Source organism: Homo sapiens, chromosome 16 (assembly GCF_000001405.40).
Source record: "Homo sapiens chromosome 16, GRCh38.p14 Primary Assembly".
NCBI lineage: Eukaryota > Metazoa > Chordata > Mammalia > Primates > Hominidae > Homo > Homo sapiens.
In genome coordinates this window covers 51616408-51635441 of record NC_000016.10, presented here as the reverse complement: position 1 = coordinate 51635441, position 19034 = coordinate 51616408, and the positions used below count along the sequence as shown (strand labels likewise).

At 40.8% G+C, this 19034-nt stretch overlaps 1 long non-coding RNA gene across 1 annotated transcript, besides 2 other annotated features; it reads left to right on the top strand.

Annotated features, from left to right (window-relative positions):
• The first annotated feature begins 1328 nt into the window (after positions 1–1328).
• Positions 1329–15651, top strand: LOC107984892 (uncharacterized). The gene is made up of 3 exons (XR_001752181.1): positions 1329–1484; positions 12752–12871; positions 15528–15651. It is a non-coding gene; the product is annotated as an uncharacterized LOC107984892 (long non-coding RNA).
• Positions 10637–11543: an enhancer, noted in NCBI's record as "VISTA enhancer hs72". NCBI's record gives its function as "enhancer in: limb[6/6]" and the evidence as "EXISTENCE:transgenic organism evidence [ECO:0001131][PMID:17130149]".
• Positions 13215–14414: an enhancer, noted in NCBI's record as "P300/CBP strongly-dependent group 1 enhancer chr16:51654939-51656138 (GRCh37/hg19 assembly coordinates)". NCBI's record gives its function as "activates an origin of replication core promoter dependent on BRD2, BRD4, P300/CBP, MED14 and CDK7 cofactors, with strong dependence on P300/CBP, by STARR-seq in HCT116 cells {active_cell/tissue: HCT116}" and the evidence as "EXISTENCE:reporter gene assay evidence [ECO:0000049][PMID:35650434]".
• Positions 15652–19034: the final 3383 nt, after the last annotated feature.

Here is a 19034-nt window from a genome sequence, read left to right as displayed (position 1 = left end):
GAGAAGATTCCCGACTCTCTTCTGACCTCCCTTTTTATCTACAGGATGGGTGTGTGTGGCCCATAAATCAACTGGACGCACTTCCCTTTGTTTGCACACTGCCACCGACACAGGCTTGCTATGAAGAAGAAGAAATTTTGCTCAGAGGAAACTAGAAAACCTGAACGTGTACACAATGCTGACATATTTTGTTGCTTTCACCCCTCTTAAGAATTTCTACCATTCCTTTGAGAAGTTGATTATTTTTAAAACTGTGTATCATTTTGTCTTCTTGGGCAAATTGCACAGTCAATGATATGTTTCACCGAGTATGTAAATCCCTTTTACATATTTCAAAATAATATCTAATTAAAATGTCAAGGTTATAGCTCATGAGGCTAGAGTGGACAGGGCTCCACCCCCTCCCTCAGCCTCTCAAAGTAACATTTAAAGTATGTCCTATAATTAGGAGCAATTATAAATTCCAATTAAAAAGAAACCTGCATAACTCTGACAGTATTTTTCTTTGATGTTACTGGCTTTAATTTATGTGCTTGTTCCACCAAATTGTCTTCACTTCCTCAGATATGTTCTCAGACAGAAAAGGCTTCCAAAACTGCAAAGAGAAAAACAGGTCAAATCTGAGAAAAGTAGTGAAGTTCATTAAAAAGGGTTATTGCATCTATAACTTCTGGACTTGGTGCTCATTGATTAGAGATTAAACATCATCCTTTGTACTACTCAGATTGGGATTTTTAATTAGGATGTCATTATTACACAGATATACTGAATGCCATATTGATTTTTGAGACCTTTTGAAATAATAGCACTGCTTATGCAAAATGAAAATCATAATAGATTATTGACTTCTTCAGGAGTTTTGATCCAAGGGTACCTCCCCAAAGTCAACATTTTCAATATTTTCAGTTTTATGCAAAGAGATGCTCATAATTAGGCTTATATTAAAAGTTTGTGCATATTGACTCTGTGTCATTAATGTCGATGGCATCACATTGATTACCCTTGAATTATAACAGCAGTGACATTGCTGGTTGCTGCATTGTTTACATACCATATAGCCTTTGTCTTTGCTTTTGTTTAATTTAAAAAGTGTTCATATTCAACATGAGTAGCATGCTTGATTCACAAGATCAGAGGTTCAACAACTTTCTCAATTCATAGTGCCCTAAGTGGCTCAGTAATTTCTTCATAGTGCTCCTAGTTCAAAAGAATTACCCATCAGTTCCCTTTAGTAAGTAGTCAGGGCCAAACAACTCAACAAGTATGAACGTCCAAAAAACTTAATGGGCATTTTTTAAAATTACACATTTGTAAGAAAAAAATCTGTTTATTTTATTCTCCAATATTCAGAATTACTAATGAGATGTCTGCAATGTGTCAAGTCTTAACATCAGATTGGACACCACCACCATTTCCTGTTCCACACTGATCTTCACATGGTTCTTGCTTTTTAACACAACCTCTGAAAACCGAGCCTCACAAAGGTAAACTATCTTATTTTATTTATTTATTTATTTATTTATTTGAGATGGAGTCTCGCTCTGTCTCCCAGGCTGGAGTGCAGTGGCGTGATCTCAGCTCACGGCAACCTCTACCTCCCAGGTTCAAGCAATTCTCTGCCTCAGCCTTCTGAGTAGCTGAGATTACAGGCTACTACCACCATATCTGGCTAATTTTTGTATTTTTAGTAGAGACGGGGTTTCACCATGTTGGCCAGGCTAGTCTTGAACTCCTGACGTCGTGATCCACCCACCTCAGCCTCCCAAAGTGCTGGGATTACAGGCTTAAGCCACCGCACCTGGCCTAAAGATAGGCTATCATCCAGAAAAATATACTGTGATCTAATGTTAAAAATAAGTTAAAACTACCTCAAGCTAGTAGTTTGCACAGTGTCTGACAAATGTTACTGTGTTTTCCTCAAAAATTTAAAACATCAGACAGTCCTCGTGTGAATTCACTGCAGCATACTGGGTGCCTTGGTGCACAGTTTGGAAATTGAGGCACAAGAATTAACGTTTCTTGATGTCATGAAATATACCATGTCCAGGCCAGGCGCAGTGGCTCATACCTGTAATCCCAGCACTCTGGGAGGCCGAGGCGGGTGGATCACGAGGTCAGGAGATCGAGACCATCCTGGCTAACACGATGAAACCCCGTCTCTACTAAAAATACAAAAAGTTAGCTGGGCGTGGTGGTGGGCACTTGTAGTCCCAGCTGCTCCAGAGGCTGAGGCAGGAGAATGGGGCGAACCTGGGAGGCGGAGCTTGCAGTGAGCCGAGATCATGCCACTGCACTCCAGCCTGGGTGACAGAGCAAGGCTCTGTCTCAAAAAAAAAAAAAAAGAAAAGAAAAAAAGAAATATACCATGTCCATATCCATATTTTCTGTACATTAGCCTAGCATGGGACTAATGTACTCAATAAACATTGTTTAAAGAACGTTGCTTTTGGTTAACACTTTTCTAGTTTAGATTACTTTAATCACAGTACCACAATTTGATAACATATATCCAATGTATATATAGTCACTACCAATGCAGAGGAATATATTTTCTTACATACACTCAAAGAGCTTAGGTGGAGGAAATTGATGGAGTCATCTCTATTTGAAATGTCTTATAGATATTTCTCTGTGAAGAAAGCTTTTATCTCTAGGATTCCTAGATTTTCTCTAAACTTAGGAAAATGCTTAAAAAGTTCCATTACTTGCTTGCTCCCTGATATGGTTTAGCTCTGTGCCCCCACTCAAATCTCATGTCAAGTTGTAATTCTTGCCTGTCAGAGGAGGGGCTTGGTGGGAGGTGATTGGATCATGGGGGCGGATTTCCCCCTTGCTGTTCTTGTGATAGTAAGTGATTCTCATGAGATCCTATGGTTTAAAAGTGTGTCACTTCCCCCTTTGCTCTCTCTCTCTCTCTCTCTCTTGCTCTTCCATGGAAAGACGTGCCTTGCTTCCTCTTTGCCTTCTGCCATGATTATACATATCCTGAGGCCTCCCCAGCCTTGCAGAACTGTGGGTCAATTAAACCTCTTTTCTTCATAAATTTCCTGGTCTCAGGTAGTTCTTTATAGCAGTGTGATAATGGACTAATACACTCCCTAAGACATTACAAACATACACAGAAGTAAGTGTATGATCCAAAAATTGCTTGGACCACTTGATTTTATCCAAAGGTGGATGAAGGTGCATATGTCCAGAACCAGAGGACTTCTTCCTTGCCTTTAACTTCCCTCTAAGCACAAAGGCCTTGGCCTGTGGCTCCCACATGGATACCGTGTAGTTGAGTGAACCTGAAGAATCATATCCCACACAATGCAGCCTTGGCTAAAAATGAATACCCAGTGGTGTACATATACCCAATGATACAGAAACATAATGGAACAGTATTCAGTCTTAAAAAAGGATACAGTCCTCATCCAGCTACAACATGAATGAATCTTGAAAACATGATGCTAAGTGAAAGAAGCCAGCACAAAAGGCCACATGTATGATCCTACTGGTCTGATGCATCTAGAACAGGCAAATTCATAGAGATGGAAAGCAGAATGGAAGTTATCAGGGGCCGAGGGCAAGTGCATAGAGAGTTATTGTTTAATGGGTGCAGAATTTCTGTTAGGGATGATAATAAAGTTCTGGAAATGGATAATGGTGATGACTGCACAACTTTGTAAATGTACTTACTGCCACTGAATTTTACACTTAAAAATGCTTAAAATAGTAAACTTTATATTACGTGTATTGTACCATTTTACCATGCACAGACACAAAATTGCCCAGCCTGACGAATGAGATTTGCTTAAAAAGATGTCACCAATAAATAAAGTTTAGAAAATAAGACTGCCACAGCTGCCACATTGTCTAAGTCATGAAATGCCCAATAAGAACAGGGATTGGCAAACTTTCTGTCAAAGGATCAGATAGTGAATATTCTAGGCTTTACAGACTGCAGGGTCTGTCTTACATCCCTTCAAGTCTGTCCTTGAGTCTGCAAAGTCACTGTAGGAAACATGTAAATGAATGAGCATGGCTGATTTCTCAGCCAATTTTTATTCATGGACACTGAATTTGAATCGCTTATAATTCTCACATATCGCAAAATATTGTTCTGTTTTTGACCTTTTTTCTAATCACTTAAAAATGTCAAAACTATTCTTAGCTCATGGATCTTATAAAGTGAGACAGATTTGGCCTCTAGGCCGTAGTTTGCTGATCCCTGAGCTAGACTCCCAAATCAAGGCTGAGACAATACCGTACTGGTAACATGTGGAATCTCTTCCAATATTGGAGATGGTTTTCCATGACAAGTGGGAAACGTCCTCCTTGGAAAACCTGTTCTCCAGTGGCTCAGGCAGCATGAGGCGTTCTACAATTGAGACAAACCTGAAGTTGGTGCTCATTTTCCCTCTTGAAACTTGGCCCCACTATTGGATCAGGCCCCTAGGGCTAGCAGGATGCTCCATTGATCCAACCAGGGAGAAAATCCATTTGATTCACTACAGGATGCTAAGAATGCTTTTTAACATCTCTTACAGGATTATTTTTTTTTTTTACTGCAACAGACACTTCAAATAAAGCAAAAAGCATATGCAAGAAAAAAAGAATGAAAGAAAAAACAACGATTGTGGTAAAATTTATAGAAAGCATATTCTCAGGAAGGGAAATTTCCCTTGCTACTAAAATAAAATGCCAGGCATAATTTTTTAAAAATAGTAATGGCATACTTTCTGGAAGGAAATTTGCAAGGAAAGAGGGTAGGGGCTTCCCAACACTACTAAAATAAAATGATTCAGGCGTCTACCTCATTGTATACATGACCAGATTCGTTGGATGAGTAGAATTTAATTCAGCAAATTTTACTGAGCATCTACTTTGAGTTAAACACTTGAGACACAAGGTTCCCTCATGTTCATACTTTGAATATTCAATTCATATTCTGAGTTTGTTTGTTGGTTTGGAGGGGTGGCTGCTGAAAGAGGGTGGGTCGCAAGGTATAAATTATTCCAGATTTTCTAATTATAAAAACTTAGTTTATATCATAGCTGTTCCTGCCTCCCAGAGCCCTTAAACAAGAGGCATTTCTTCTCATATCAACTGCTGCTGTTTGAAAGTAGAGCCCCTGGTCAGTGACTCTAATATCCCCTGCTGGGCAACGGACAGAGGGATGCAGTAGGGGGCCCTCTCTGTGTCCACGTGCCTGGAGTGCTCCTTCAAATGGCTCAGAGATCCCTTTGAGATTCAAGGGCTGCTGATGGGGGAGCGTCACTGCTTCTTTGAACTTGGCCTTCTTCTAATTTTTAATATCTCTCCCTCTTTAGTTCTCAGATTCCTCCTCTCATTTTTGTGTCTGAAGTCTCTGTATTAGCTTGTGGTGCCATTTCATCAACACATTAGATTACGATTGGCTCTAAATAATTTAAATATTTGGTTACAACAAAGACAGCCACAGCCTGTATGTCCAGCTGAGCTCAGAAAGACCTTCCTTCATTAGTTCTAACTTTATTTCTCATAAAATAGGAGGCCATTTGAGTAAAATGATAGTGGAAAAATTTTTAAACAGAACCAGCAAATAAACATGGTCTTTATGAGTTGTAACTTAATCCCCAGCTGATGTCATGTTTCATGTTTCAACTGCCAGAAAATGCCTGACATCTATATATCAGGCAGATTTATGGAGACTTCAGGGTAAGAGTTAAGAGGATCCCTTAAATAAGGATAGTGTGTTGGTCTGGGGGTAATTTGGAGCCGCTGTTATCCATAGATTGAAATGCGCACATTTGGGTAAATTATAGGAATATGCCTTTCCACTTAATCTCTTTTTTATGTTCCAAAAGTCTTTAGATCTGGGAGGCGGATGCATGAGGTAAGGGAGGTGGGGGTGGGGAGAGACAGAGAGAGAATGAGAGAGCACTCAAAATATGATTCTCTTTTGCCCCTATTTGGTCATTGATGTTTCTTTGGCAATACTAGAGAGAAAAGCAAAGATCCTGCCTTGCAAACCTCAGAATCATAAACCGTACACGGGCTCTCACCCCACACAAGCATCTCTTGGTGGCGATATGGTTGTGTTGGCTACAGGAGGTGACCAAGGACATGGCACCCTGGTAGTTTCCTATCAAGAAATCCTTGCTAAATCTGCCTATGACAGCAGTTACCCCACAAGGACAGAGTTTTCCCAACATAAACCTCTCTTTATATTGTACAAGTTGGGAGCCAATTATCCTAGAAAAATGGTTTTGAAATAGCCCCAGAAAAAAAATGATTCACTTAGTTTTAACATGCATTGACTGTAGATTTGCACTCAAGTTTCTCATAGGTCTACTCTGGTGAATTAGCAAGAATAAATTATACTAGCTGATGTAACAAACAGCCCCAAATTTCAGTGGCTTAACACAGTAAGGGTCTATCTGTTTCTTATATCATAGACCTACTGGATGTTCAGAAGGTGCATTTCTACATGGTGATTCAAATACCCAGTGTTGGTACAACTGGTGACTTTGTAATCTGCAAAGACTTGGAGTACTCTACCACATACTCGGCATCCTCCTAGGAAATGAAAAAGAGAGAGACAAGCCAGGAGAACTTCATGTGAGGTTTAATGGATAATTGGCCAGACTCGGTCACATGGCTCCATTTTACCTGCAGAAGGTGCTGGAAAATGTGGAGTAGCTCTGATCCCAGGAAGGACAACTGGCTTCCAGCTTCCATTTTAATATAGAAACCACCGTGCTGCACTGCTGAGTGGCTTCTGGGATTTCCTCAGAGACTAAAGTAATTGAAATAACAAAAACAATTTTTTTTTTACATTTATATCTCATTGACAATGGGTTTAATTTTCCTCAGCACTCACACCTATCCTATGAGGGAGGCAAGGCAAGTATTGTTGTCTCTACTTTTACATGGGGCTCTGAGTGGGAGCAGGGACTTGCCTGTGCCCCAGGACACAAAACAAATGGGACAGAACTTGAATCAGAACCCAGGTATCCCTGTATTGGATTTGCAGTTTTTACTACTGTACTAACAGAATAGGAGTAGATGAAGTGGGGAACCGGGTGAGGAAGGAAAGGTGAGCTCCTCAACTGAGTTGGGAACTAGATGGAGTTGGAAGATTAGTTCTGGTTTTATCCAGGTGTTGGTAAGGATTTATAGGATGCTTGAGGGGTGAGACATGAAATTATTTCAGTTCTCTGCTTTGAAGCTAAATGCCAGCTTAATTCAGAGATCCAATCCCTGTATGTTTCCATACACCTTTGTTTTTAATTTCTCATCTTTCTTTCACTTCTTTTCTTTCATTTCTCTCTTTTGGAAGTGAAAGCATCACTTTTTGTTGCGGTATGTGAATATAACAATATTAAATGGTTACAACAGCAGCCAAAGTACAAGAGGGAGAGCTCTTGTGACCTCCCATAAATGAAAGGTGGCTCTGAAAGAATGAAAAACAGTTACAACAGAACGGACATAATGGGAGGGTTAAGGTTAGAATCCTTGTGTGTGTTGATTTCCATAGCTGGCACAATCGTAATAGAATGTTTTCATCCTTCATGCCACAGAAAGAGCAGAGCTCAAGCCTCTTTGCTCTGGGTATGCAGCTTCAAAGAAGCGTTGTAAGCCTTCATAATCATGATTTCAAAGAGGTTTGTGGAAATGTTTTATTAATTCTTATAAAGAAATCCTTTTTTCTTAATTTTTTTCATTAACTTTAGACATTTACTTGCAATTACATTTGTTCAGTGAATACAATGACAGAAATTAATAATTCATAGCTTTTGTCAGGGAAAATTTAAAAAAAAGGACCGTTGTTCAATCAAATACAACTTTAAATGCACAATCTTTATTTAAATAAGATTTAAAAAAATAAATAATGGGGAATGTTATTGTACTTCCTAGAAACCTCTTCTTTTCCAAATTACATCTATGCTATACCCAGTGACATGAAATCTTGGGTTGTTCAGAGTACATCATGAAAATAACAGGTTCAGGTCTAATAATCTAAACTGGGGGAAACTTGACTCCAGCTCAGTATTTGTGGGACTGCCTGGATCTTCTGGGCCCTTGTGGTTGGTGGCAGAGAGTGAGAACATGATAAAGTTGGAAGAAATCAAAAAGATTATGCCTTCTTGAAAACCCTTCCTGTAACTACTGGGGAAATTAAGGTCCACAGAGAGATAGTGTATTAGCCCATGGTCGCACTACTATAAGGAACTACCTGAGACTGGGTAATTCATGAAGAAAGGAGGTTTAATTGACTCACAGTTCTGCAAGCTGCACAGGAAGCATGGCTGGTGCAGCCTCAGGAAACTTAACAATCATCATGGAGGGGAGGAGGAAGCAGGCACATCCTACATGGCGGAGCAGGAGACAGCAAGTGAAGGGGTAGGTGCTACACACTGTTAAACAACCAAATCTCGTGGGAACTCACTCACTATCACGAGAACAGCAAGGGGGAAGTCCACCCCCATGTTCCAATCACCTCCCACAAAGAGCTTCCTCCAACATTGAAGATTACAATTCAACAGGAGATTTGGGTAGGGACACAGAGCCAGACTGTATCAGACAGGGAGACTTTTGAGTTCACACAGGGAGTTAGTGGCAAAAATGGGCCTGGTGTGTAGGTGTCCTGACCTCTCAGCCCAAGCTTTGTCAATCTGTGATGCTATCTTTATCATTCCACCAGGACCTGCCTAACAAACAGTACCTGTGGATTGAGATTTTAGGTGTGTTAGGCAGACCAAACATTTCATCCCAACTGCCTAGCAACTTATCTGAAATTCTATCACGCTTCCCTTGTTGAAATGCAAATATCTATCACTAGAAATTAACTTAGGTGGAAAAGAAGGGTAGGAAATAAGGCCAAGGCCTGGCAGAAATAAGATGACATGTGGAGTGGTGACAAGCTCTGCAGTTAGGTCAAAAGACAGTGGATGAGATAAGGTCTCTAGGGCTCTGTTCCTCATCCTGCCTGTTCCAACTGATAAGGAGTAAGAATCCGGCTGAAAAATCAATTCTGCCCTTTACTTGTCCCAGTCAAAAGGATGACAATGGACTCTATCTGAAAAAGAAAGAAAGAAAGAAAAGTCAAATTCTTAAAAACTTCCAGGGAATTTCTAGCTCATCAGTAAGACTTGCAAGGGCAGTTTAACGTAATGGTTAAGAATGTCTCTAGGTTTTAATTTAAAAAATAAAAAAAAAGAGGCCGGGCATGGTGGCTCACGCCTGTAACCCCAGCACTTTGGGAGGCCGAGGCAGGTGAATCATGAGGTCAGGAGATCGAGACTATCCTGGCTAACATGGTGAAACCCTGTCTCTACTAAAAAGAAAAAGAAAAAAAAAATTAGCCGGGCATGGTGGCAGGTGTCTGTAGTCCCAGCTACTTGGGAGGCTGAGGCAGAAGAACTGTGTGAACCTGGGAGGCGGAGCTTGCAGTGAGCCACAGCGGTGCCACTGCAGTCCAGCCTGGGTGACAGAGCGAGACTCCGTCTCAAAAAAAAGAGAAAAGAAAAAAGAAGATGAGATTTTATTCTGTTGCCCAGGCTGGAGTGGCATGATTATACATCACTGCAGCCTTGAACTCCTGGGTTCAAGCAATTCTGCCACCTCAGCCTCCTGAGTAGCTAGAACCACAGGCATAAGACCCCATACCTAGGTAATTTTTAAATTTTTTTTGTAGAGATGGGGGTCTCACTATGTTGCACAGGCTGGTCTTGAACTCCTGGCCTCAATTGATCTGTCTGCCTTGGCCTCCCAAAGTGCTGGGATTACAGGTACTCAGCTTAGGTTTGAATCTTGATTCAGTCAGCTAACAGTTCTGTGCTTTGGGAAAACCATTACTAAGATCTCCAAGTCTTTATTTGTAAAATGAGGATGTATCAGTTAGCTATTGTACTATAACAAACCACCCCAAAACTCAGAGCCTTAAAACAGCAGTTATTTATTCTCACGCATCTGAGGGTTGGCTGTGGAGGCTTTGCTTCTCACTGCAGTCTGTGGGTTAGTAGAGGTGACTCTGCTATATGTGTTTCTCATCATCCTCCTGGAACCAGCAGACTAGCTGGTTCTTCTCAAGGTGAGAGCAGAGCTGCAAAAAGGCAGGAAGAAATGTGGCCTTTGAAGGCCACGGCTCAGAACTGGCACTGTGTACTTTTAATTATGTGTTGCTGGCCAAAAGCTAAAGTAAAGTCAAGAGATATGAAAGGAAGTTCTGCCCAAAATGAGGCTATGGCAAAAATGTGGATGAAGTGAGCAGTGAAGAATTGGGCCCTCAAATGTAATTTACCATCAAGAATAATAAAAGTACTTTCTCATTGCATTGCCCTCACAATTAGTTTTGAAAGTGTCTGTAAAGTGCTTATGAGGGCTGTGCCCTCTCAGATAATAGTAGGATGCCTGGAGGTGGGCCCTTTACTGACCTCTCAGTAAGGTCAGTAATAAGGCTGCAATCAAAAATTTGGGGCTAAGGATTTTCCTCTTTGATTTGGGCAGCTCTTAGAGGGGGTGTCTTCCGAAGGTGAGGAAATGTGCAGTCTTCCTGGAACCATCAATTTCCTGCTTCCAAGTACAGTATTGGTCCTTACCTCACACACCAAAGAAAACAAATGGATTTGATTAGCAAATACTTTCATCTACATCCTAATTGAAGTCTCTGGGACTTCCTTGTTTTGGAAAATCCCATTTTAATGCACAGCACATCAGGTAGCCAAAAGAATTTCCTCTCCCATCAGCTACCCTGTCCCTCCCAAACCAGGGAGTTTATCCACCATTTTCTCACCAGTCCCCTCAGTCTGTTTCTAGATAGATGTATCTAGGCTGATGACTGGAAGATTCTCCTGTAGGTTTTGACTCATCCCATGAATCACTCAATCCCAATGCATTTACAACAGAGGCAAAGGACAGCTTTCAGTGGTGCCCCGTCCAGATGTCCTCGCTCTGTGGAGCTATCTACTCCCTGCCAGGACCCCTGAGATGCAAAGCCCACTCTCCCTGGTAGAGGCTGCTGCAGCGAAACTAAATTGTAGCTGAGAAGGTGACCACTTGGCCATCTGAAAAGTCTGACCGGTTGGCACACTGTTGTCTCCAAATGAGCCGGCAGGAAACGGGGTTTCCTAAAACTTGGTTTTAAAGCACTTAGAACAGGAAACCATTTCCCATGCATGTTAGATCTCTCTAATGACCAGCTAACTAGAAACAGGCTATCTTAATACTCTGCCCCGAGCCATTACAAATGGCTTTCTTTCCAGACTTCATTAGAATATTTACTGCAATTTAGATAGAAGACTTTTGACACTGCAGTCATAAAATTTACAGGGAACCATTTTTTTGTTTTTTGTTTGTTTTCCTTTTTTTTTTTTTTCAGTCTAAGAAGAACTTGGAAGAAGTGAGGAAAGCCCTGGACTCCCCCAGCCACCAATTTCACTCATTAGTGGCCTTTGTGTCTCATGACCTCTAGTTAAGAAAATAAACATCCCTGTGGTAGTCCAATAAATTGCCTTCAGAAAAAAACAGCTCGATCTCTTTTTTGTCAACTCCTGCCTCTTTCAGAATTACAGCAAGAAAGAAAAAATTTGCAATGTGTGCACCTTCCACATGTTAAGTTACTGAATCTTCAAAACCATCTTCTAAATGGGCACGATCATTATCCCCATTTCATCTCTGAGAAAATTGAGACCAGAAGTCACCAAAAGCCACAGAGGTAGTGAGTGACAGAGCTAAGATTGGCATCCAAGTGACACTGAAACACAGCTCTCTCTGACCGCCTTCACTGCTTGTACTTATCCTCATAGCAGATCCCATCTGCACAGGCAGTAGCTACTCTATGAAAAAGAACTTTGGACCCACTTTCACATTGTCTTAAATTTTATGTATCTAATACCTTCATAAAAATGATTGATCATAGCTCCAACAAAATTGACGTTAAGTCCCCAATCAGAGAAAGGTCACTGTGGAACATTGATGTTGCATTGTTTGCAATAGTGCAATATTCAGTTGATCTTGTAATTGCTGAGTGGTGACATCAGCTATTAAGAAAATATAGCAGGGTAAATGAATATTTATATAAATATGGATGGGGGACATTGGGAAAGTCACTAATTTGATTGTGTGGTCAGGGAGGGATTCTGATGAGGGGGCACTTGAGTGGCATTCTGATGAGGGGTCATTCTGTGGTGGTTGGGAGTGTATGATGTGTTTGAAGAGCAAGTGGCCCCAAGCTGGGTGTGGTGGCTTATGCCTGTAATCCCAGCTCTTTGGGAGACCAAGGAGGGTGGATCACTTGAGGTCAGGAGTTAGAGACCAGCCTGGCCAACATGGTGAAACCCCATCTCTACTGAAAATACAAAAATTAGCTGGGCATAGTGGCAGGCACCTGTAATCCCAGCTACTTGGGAGGCTGAGGCAGGAGAATTGCTTAAACCCAGGAGGCAGAGGTTGCAATGAGCTGAGATCACGCCACAGCACTCCAGCTTGGGTGACAGAATGAGGGTCTGTCTCAAAAAAACAAAACAAAACAAAAACAAGTGGCCCCAAGTATCTCTGACGGTGTTCATGTGATCTAGTGTTGCACTCATAACTTTAGGTAGTCAAAGGTTAGTCCTTGTGGTCTAAGGTTGCATTGATAATCTTTGGTATTTAAAGTTCAAAGTTCTCTATCTGTAGTATTAATGACAAGAAATCTGCATTCCTTCATCACATAGTTTATCTGGTGTCAAAAACATCTCCCCTGAGTCTCATTTTGATGTTATACCTTTTGTTTTTACTACAGGATGTATGAAAAATGCTTCTCTACTCTCAGTGAGGCTTTATAGAATACACAGCCCTCTATGCCACTCTATGAAGAAAGCAAAGAAAAAGATCACTCCTAAAAGCAGTGTGCTTTCCCTCAGTAAGTAATAAAGAGCACACAACCTATCATGTTTCTCCCTTTTTGCCTTGATTCCTAGGAAGCTCAAGGTTAAATTGAATATTCAATTAAAACAAGAAAATTAGCTTTAGCCTTCAAGGCTTTTGAGCATTTCTAATACTTAACCGTGAATCTGCTTTTCATTGCAAGGAGCCTCTAGTTCTCCTTGAGTGGTGTATAAATAACACATGTACATAAAATCATGTGTGCCAAGAATATAAGAAGTGATGATCTGCCTAAAAATACACTTTTGTTTCTATCATTAGATGCTCTAGATAAGCCATTGTTTATTATTCCATTTACGTGGAGGCCAACTGTGTGACCAGATTGGATCAAAAAAAGAGAAAGAAACATTGCTATAGACGAATATGTTAATGTTTCCCTCCCCCAATGAATCACATCCTTCCCTCCCCCAATGAATCACATCCTTCCCTCCCCCAGTGAATCACATCCCTCCCCCTCCAATGAATCACATCCCTCCCTCCCCCAATGAAACACATCCTTCCCTCTCCCAATGAATCACATCCCTCCCTCCCCAATGAATCACATCCCTCCCTCCCCCAGAGAATCACACCTCTCCCTCCCCCAAGGAATCACATCCCTCCCTCCCCAATGAATCACATCCCTCCCTCCCCCAGTGAATCACACCTCTCCCTCCCCCAATGAATCACATCCCTCCCACCCCCAATGAATCATATCCCTCCCTCCCACAATGAATCACATCCCTCCCTCCCACAATGAATCACATCCCTCCCTCCCAAAATGAATCACATCCCCCATATTCTACCACCTTGTGTTATCTCCTCTCACAAGAACACTGGGCTTGGCCATGTGACGTGTCTTAGCCAATGAGACATCAACAAATATGCTGCAAGCAGAGGCTTGACAAGCAATCTCTATGGTATTGCCTTCTTGAAATGTTTCTGTCACCACCTAAGACAGCCAGGTCTATCCTCCTCGAGGATGAAAGATAGTATGGAGAGAGAAGCCCAACCATTATAGCTGATCCTCCAGCTCCATGCAGACTCAGGAGTGAGCCCAGCTGAAACAAGCAGAGGAACCCTCCAAGCAAGTGAAAAGAGTAATGGGAATCGAGAAATCGAGAAATCTTAGTTATTCCAAACCTCAGTTTTAGGGTGGCTTGTTGCACAGCACTAGATAATGAATACAGATATCCAAATATTACTTTTAGGGCCCAAATTCTAGAGAATTGTTACTAAATATTTGGGTTCAATGAGTACTTGGTACATCCCTTAAAACATCAAGGTCCCCTGAAGGACTAATGTTTCCAAGAAGTAAAATATACCAAGAACACACATTTTCTCAGAATCTACCATATAGAAAGCATGTCTCTTGGCCCAGGCGAGTGCTTTGATAAAAATACATAACCACTATCTTCAACAAGCTTAAGTAGATGATAATGCCAAAATAATTTAGATAGTCTGGGATTGGCAGGAGAACAGAGAGAGATATGAAAAAGTAGAATATTCTAAAAACAGATTCTAATAAATACTAGCATGCAATATATAGTAAAAGCAGCAACCATATCAAAAGCAAACCAAGAAAAAAAAAAGAAAAAGAAAGGAAAAAATGTTCCATACATAGTACTAGAATAATATTAGCTAATAGAAAAAAAAATGAAGTTAAGACCTCATCTCTTATATACAGAGCACTCATGTATAGAGAATATAGAGAGTACTCACAGTCAGTAATATTATACTTATATTGATTTTCATAATTATTCAGAAATTTTAATACCTGTTTATGGAACTGAAACTGAAGAACAAGTGGCCCCAAGCTGGGCGTGGTGGCTCATGCCTGTAATCCCAGCTCTTTGGGAGACGGAGGTGGGTGGACTACTTGAGGTCAGGAGTTAGAGACCAGCCTGGCCAACATGGTGAAACCCTGTCTCTACTAAAAATACAACCAGAAATCAGTCATAAAAGGAGTATTTATACCACATTAATTGGTAAATGTTGGAAATCAGGGCTTTTTTGAGAATGTTTTTTGAGAATTATAGACACCATTGACAATGGAAAAGATTTATATATTTGACCACAAATGTATTGAAAGTTAGTTTATAGAAAATTTAGGAAATGCAGTTGACTAGATAGTATATCTCGTTTATGTGGGAAAATATAGGTATGTATAGAAAAATGTCAAAAGAAAATATTTCACCGTAATTTTTTCAGTCTGTGACTTCCAAATTTTCCACAATGAGACATATGTTGCTTCTGTCATCAGTCAAAAAATAAAAATAGAACAAAAAATTCTTTAAAAATCTCATTTTCCAAAAAGAAAATAAAAAGTCTTTCTCCTCTAAAACAGTAAAAATTGTAAATACTATTAATATCATGGCCGGCATTGGGTTTGAAATTGAAGTATATTTTAGCATTGAACCCTCACCACATTCTCGGTGGGCAGATGATAATATCAAGGCTTGAAAAAGTGGAGTGACTTGGCTGAGGTCATGGAGCCTGTAAATGGCAGCATATACGTTTGAGTTCTTTTCACCACATAACACTGTTTCAATAGTAAGTTGTGACAGATACTAAAAATCATTTAAAATCACTGATTCTCATAAAATCCCCATAGGTCTCTCAAGCCTGGAAACAGAGGCTATTTATTCTCATTTTAGGTGGAAGTCTGTGGAGCATGGTGAAATCAGCCAATCAGAACGTGCGGAGGCCCACTCTAGAGGCACACAGGAAACTAGAATGAGTGACGCCTGAGAGTTCAAGACAGCAAGCTGCTTTGAGCCCACCAAGGAACGCTGTGACTGTTTTTGTCTTGGCCAGGTGCAGTGGCTCATGTCTGTATTCCCAGCACTTTGGGAGACTGAGACGGGTGGATCACAAGGCCAGGAGTTCGAGATCAGCCTATCCAACATGGTGAAACCCCATCTCTAATAAAAATACAAAAATTAGCTGGGCGTGGTGGTGGGCACCTGTAATCCCAGCTACTTGGGAGGCTGAGGCAGGCGAATTGCTTGAACCTGGGAGGCGGAGGTGGCAGTGAGCCAAGATCACGCCACTGCATGCCAGCCTGGGCAACAGAGCAAGACCCTGTCTCGGAAAATAATAATAAAAATAAAAGACAGAAAACTCTTCAAAAACACAGAACACATCTTGTTCCCTGACGCATTCCCACTGCTTAGCTCTTTGCTGGTCATTGTGGCTCTTAATACATACATTTTGGAGAAGTGAAGAATGGAAGCAGGGAGAAAAGGAAGGCAAGTGGAAAAGGCAGGAGAACAATAGGAAGGTGAGAGATTGGGGCAAGGAAGAAAGGAAAACAGAAGAAAATTAACAAAAAGCAAACATAAGAAGTAAAACCATAGCAATGGCCGGGCGCGGTGGCTCACGCCTGTAATCCCAGCACTTTGGGAGGCCGAGGCGGGCGGATCACGAGGTCAGGAGATCGAGACCATCCCGGCTAAAATGGTGAAACCCCGTCTCTACTAAAAATACAAAAAAATTAGCCGGGCGTAGTGGCGGGCGCCTGTAGTCCCAGCTACTTGGGAGGCTGAGGCAGGAGAATGGCGTGAACCCGGGAGGCGGAGCTTGCAGTGAGCCGAGATCCCGCCACTGCACTCCAGCCTGGGCGACAGAGCGAGACTCCGTCTCAAAAAAAAAAAAAAACCATAGCAATACAGGGCCATTGAGTGTATAAGTCTTGGGCTGCCACCCCCAGTTGCCTGTGAGTGGCCATCAGTAATATTACAGCCAGGACAAGAGTGGATAACAAATCATCAGACAAAGTAAATACTCAGTATAATCTCTTTTGGAAGGCATGAATAATATGAAGTACACTTTAGAAATATTTCTATCAGAAGTGATTAGGTTTGGCATTTAGATGGACTGATAAGAACCATCTAGAAAATTCATTTTCCTAGAACAGGTCATTCCCAAACCACAGAGGAATCATTATTATTGATTATGGACACATTTTCATTCAGACAAATTCTGCAATGGTACTGATAAAAATGGACCATTTCAATGGTCTGTTTATATAACCATGTCACAGGGGGTATCAGCATTTCACTAGCATTTGGAAAAAAGTTAGACTTTCCTGGAGAGTTACGTTTTGTGGTTTTTTTGGTTGTTTGTGTGTGTGTGTGTGTCTGTGTGTGTTTTGTTTTATTTTACCACAAATTATGTTTATCTCTGTGTGTATCCTCTAGAATTTTAATCAATCTTCCTTGCTGCTTGACCTTAGAATGATTATTTTTTCAACCCTAAGCCAGAATCAAGAAACTGGCAGATATTGCAATGACCATCAAATCCAGAGTTGGAGAAATCCAGGTTGTCCTTCTTCCCTGTGGTTATTTACTAAGACCTGGTCACTTCACTTTACCTCAGCATTTCAGCATTTTCATCTTTAGGATGAGGATAATAACAGCTGCTCCCTCAAAGTATTTCTGTGAGTAAGAAATGACATAATGCTCAAGTCCAGTTCATTCAACAGTACCTGGCACTCAGGAAATGGAAACTATAATTATAGACTTTAGCACAAAATATGACTTTCAAAGTTTTATTGGGATTGTATTTTTTTTAATGTTGATTCTTGGGCTTTTTTTAAAGTTAGAAATAAAACACAGACTCCAAATTTCCTGATAAGTTGCTGGTTTCTAAACTGATCTTAAACTCTAGGTCATCTCTGGAGTGCTGATTAGCTAAAACTCAACAAGATTTTATAGGTATACATGAAGTCGGATAAGTGATATTTAAATTGCAATCTTTATTTTTGACTGGAAATAATTTGTTGGAGTTATTACACAGTTGTTCAGCCTCTGAATCGTACAACAGAATGAGCATTCTTCTCTCAGGTAGGGGATTCCAAATCATAATTGAATTTGTTATAGGTTATTTTGATCCAAAGTTTAGTGAGAGCATTGGTTTGACAATTCCAATTCTAGTTTGCCATTTCCTTCAGAAATATTTGATTCCTCTTATTCTTGTCCTCCGGATACCAGATTCGATATACACGCCAAGACCAAGTAAACAAACGTAACTCCAAAATCCAATAAATCGCTCCCATTCAGATCCATGTTTAGAAAACCCACAATCTATGCCTTCTGACCCAATGATTGATGACACAGTCCTCCTGCTGCCCTTTTCAAAAGCAAGCCAAACAGGAACTCAAGAAAGGAGGAACTGTCGGGAAGCCCAAAGCTGGGATGTCCCTCCATCGCAGAACGGAAGCTCTCATCCTCAAACCCTGTATTTACAGATGGGCATTTAATTTGTAAAGGAAAGGTCCTCATAAAATGTGTTGTACTCTTTCCCCCAGGTTTCAGGCTTGCTCCTTCAATCCAGCTAGCTCTGTGGTTTCTTTTTAAAAGCCAGAAAGGTTCACAATATTCTACTTATTGACAGTCTTTTGTCTCCCGTTGGCCTTTCTTTCAGATGAATAACATGATCTCATGGACAGGGAAAGTGGGAAAGGTGCATTAGTTACAGATACCCCAGTTCTTGTGCAACTCCCATCTGTGTCCACCGGTATGTCTTTAGCTGGGTCCCATTTATTTCAGTGGGCCCACTCGTTCTTATTTTGGCTTCCAGTTTGGGCATAAGGGGCAAATAAGACATCTTCTAGGGAATCCTACCCCACCACTGGGTTTCAATGAGCTTCTCTTTTCTATCCTTTCAGGAGTTATTCTGTAGGAAACGCATAGGTCTCTGAATCATACATTTCCCTACCCTAAAATTTTACCAAGATTTGTAACACAAGGCAGATCTGCCAATGAGAGAAATGAACCAACTGCTTTTTTTCCATGAAGAAAAAGCTATAGTGCCTAATTTGTTCTCAAGCTTGTCTTTGAAAGAACACCTGCTCCCTTTGCTGACAAAAAGGAAATTGCAGGGGCTTCCAATTTTCAAGTTATTGAACTTACAGGAATCCTTATTTTTGTTTATCTCATGCTTTCCACCCAAAAACCATCCTTTGAGTCCCTCTTCCCCTAAAAACTTTGCCAGAATCATCTAGTCTGCACACCTCTCTCACTTCTCAGAGCATTTGACATCTATTTTATTCATTTTGGGAATTGATAACATACTGTTTTGTACTTATTGCTAATTACCTTTTCCATGAGAGTCACCTTAATCTTGTATAGATGCCTCAAGAACAGAGACCATGTCTTAAA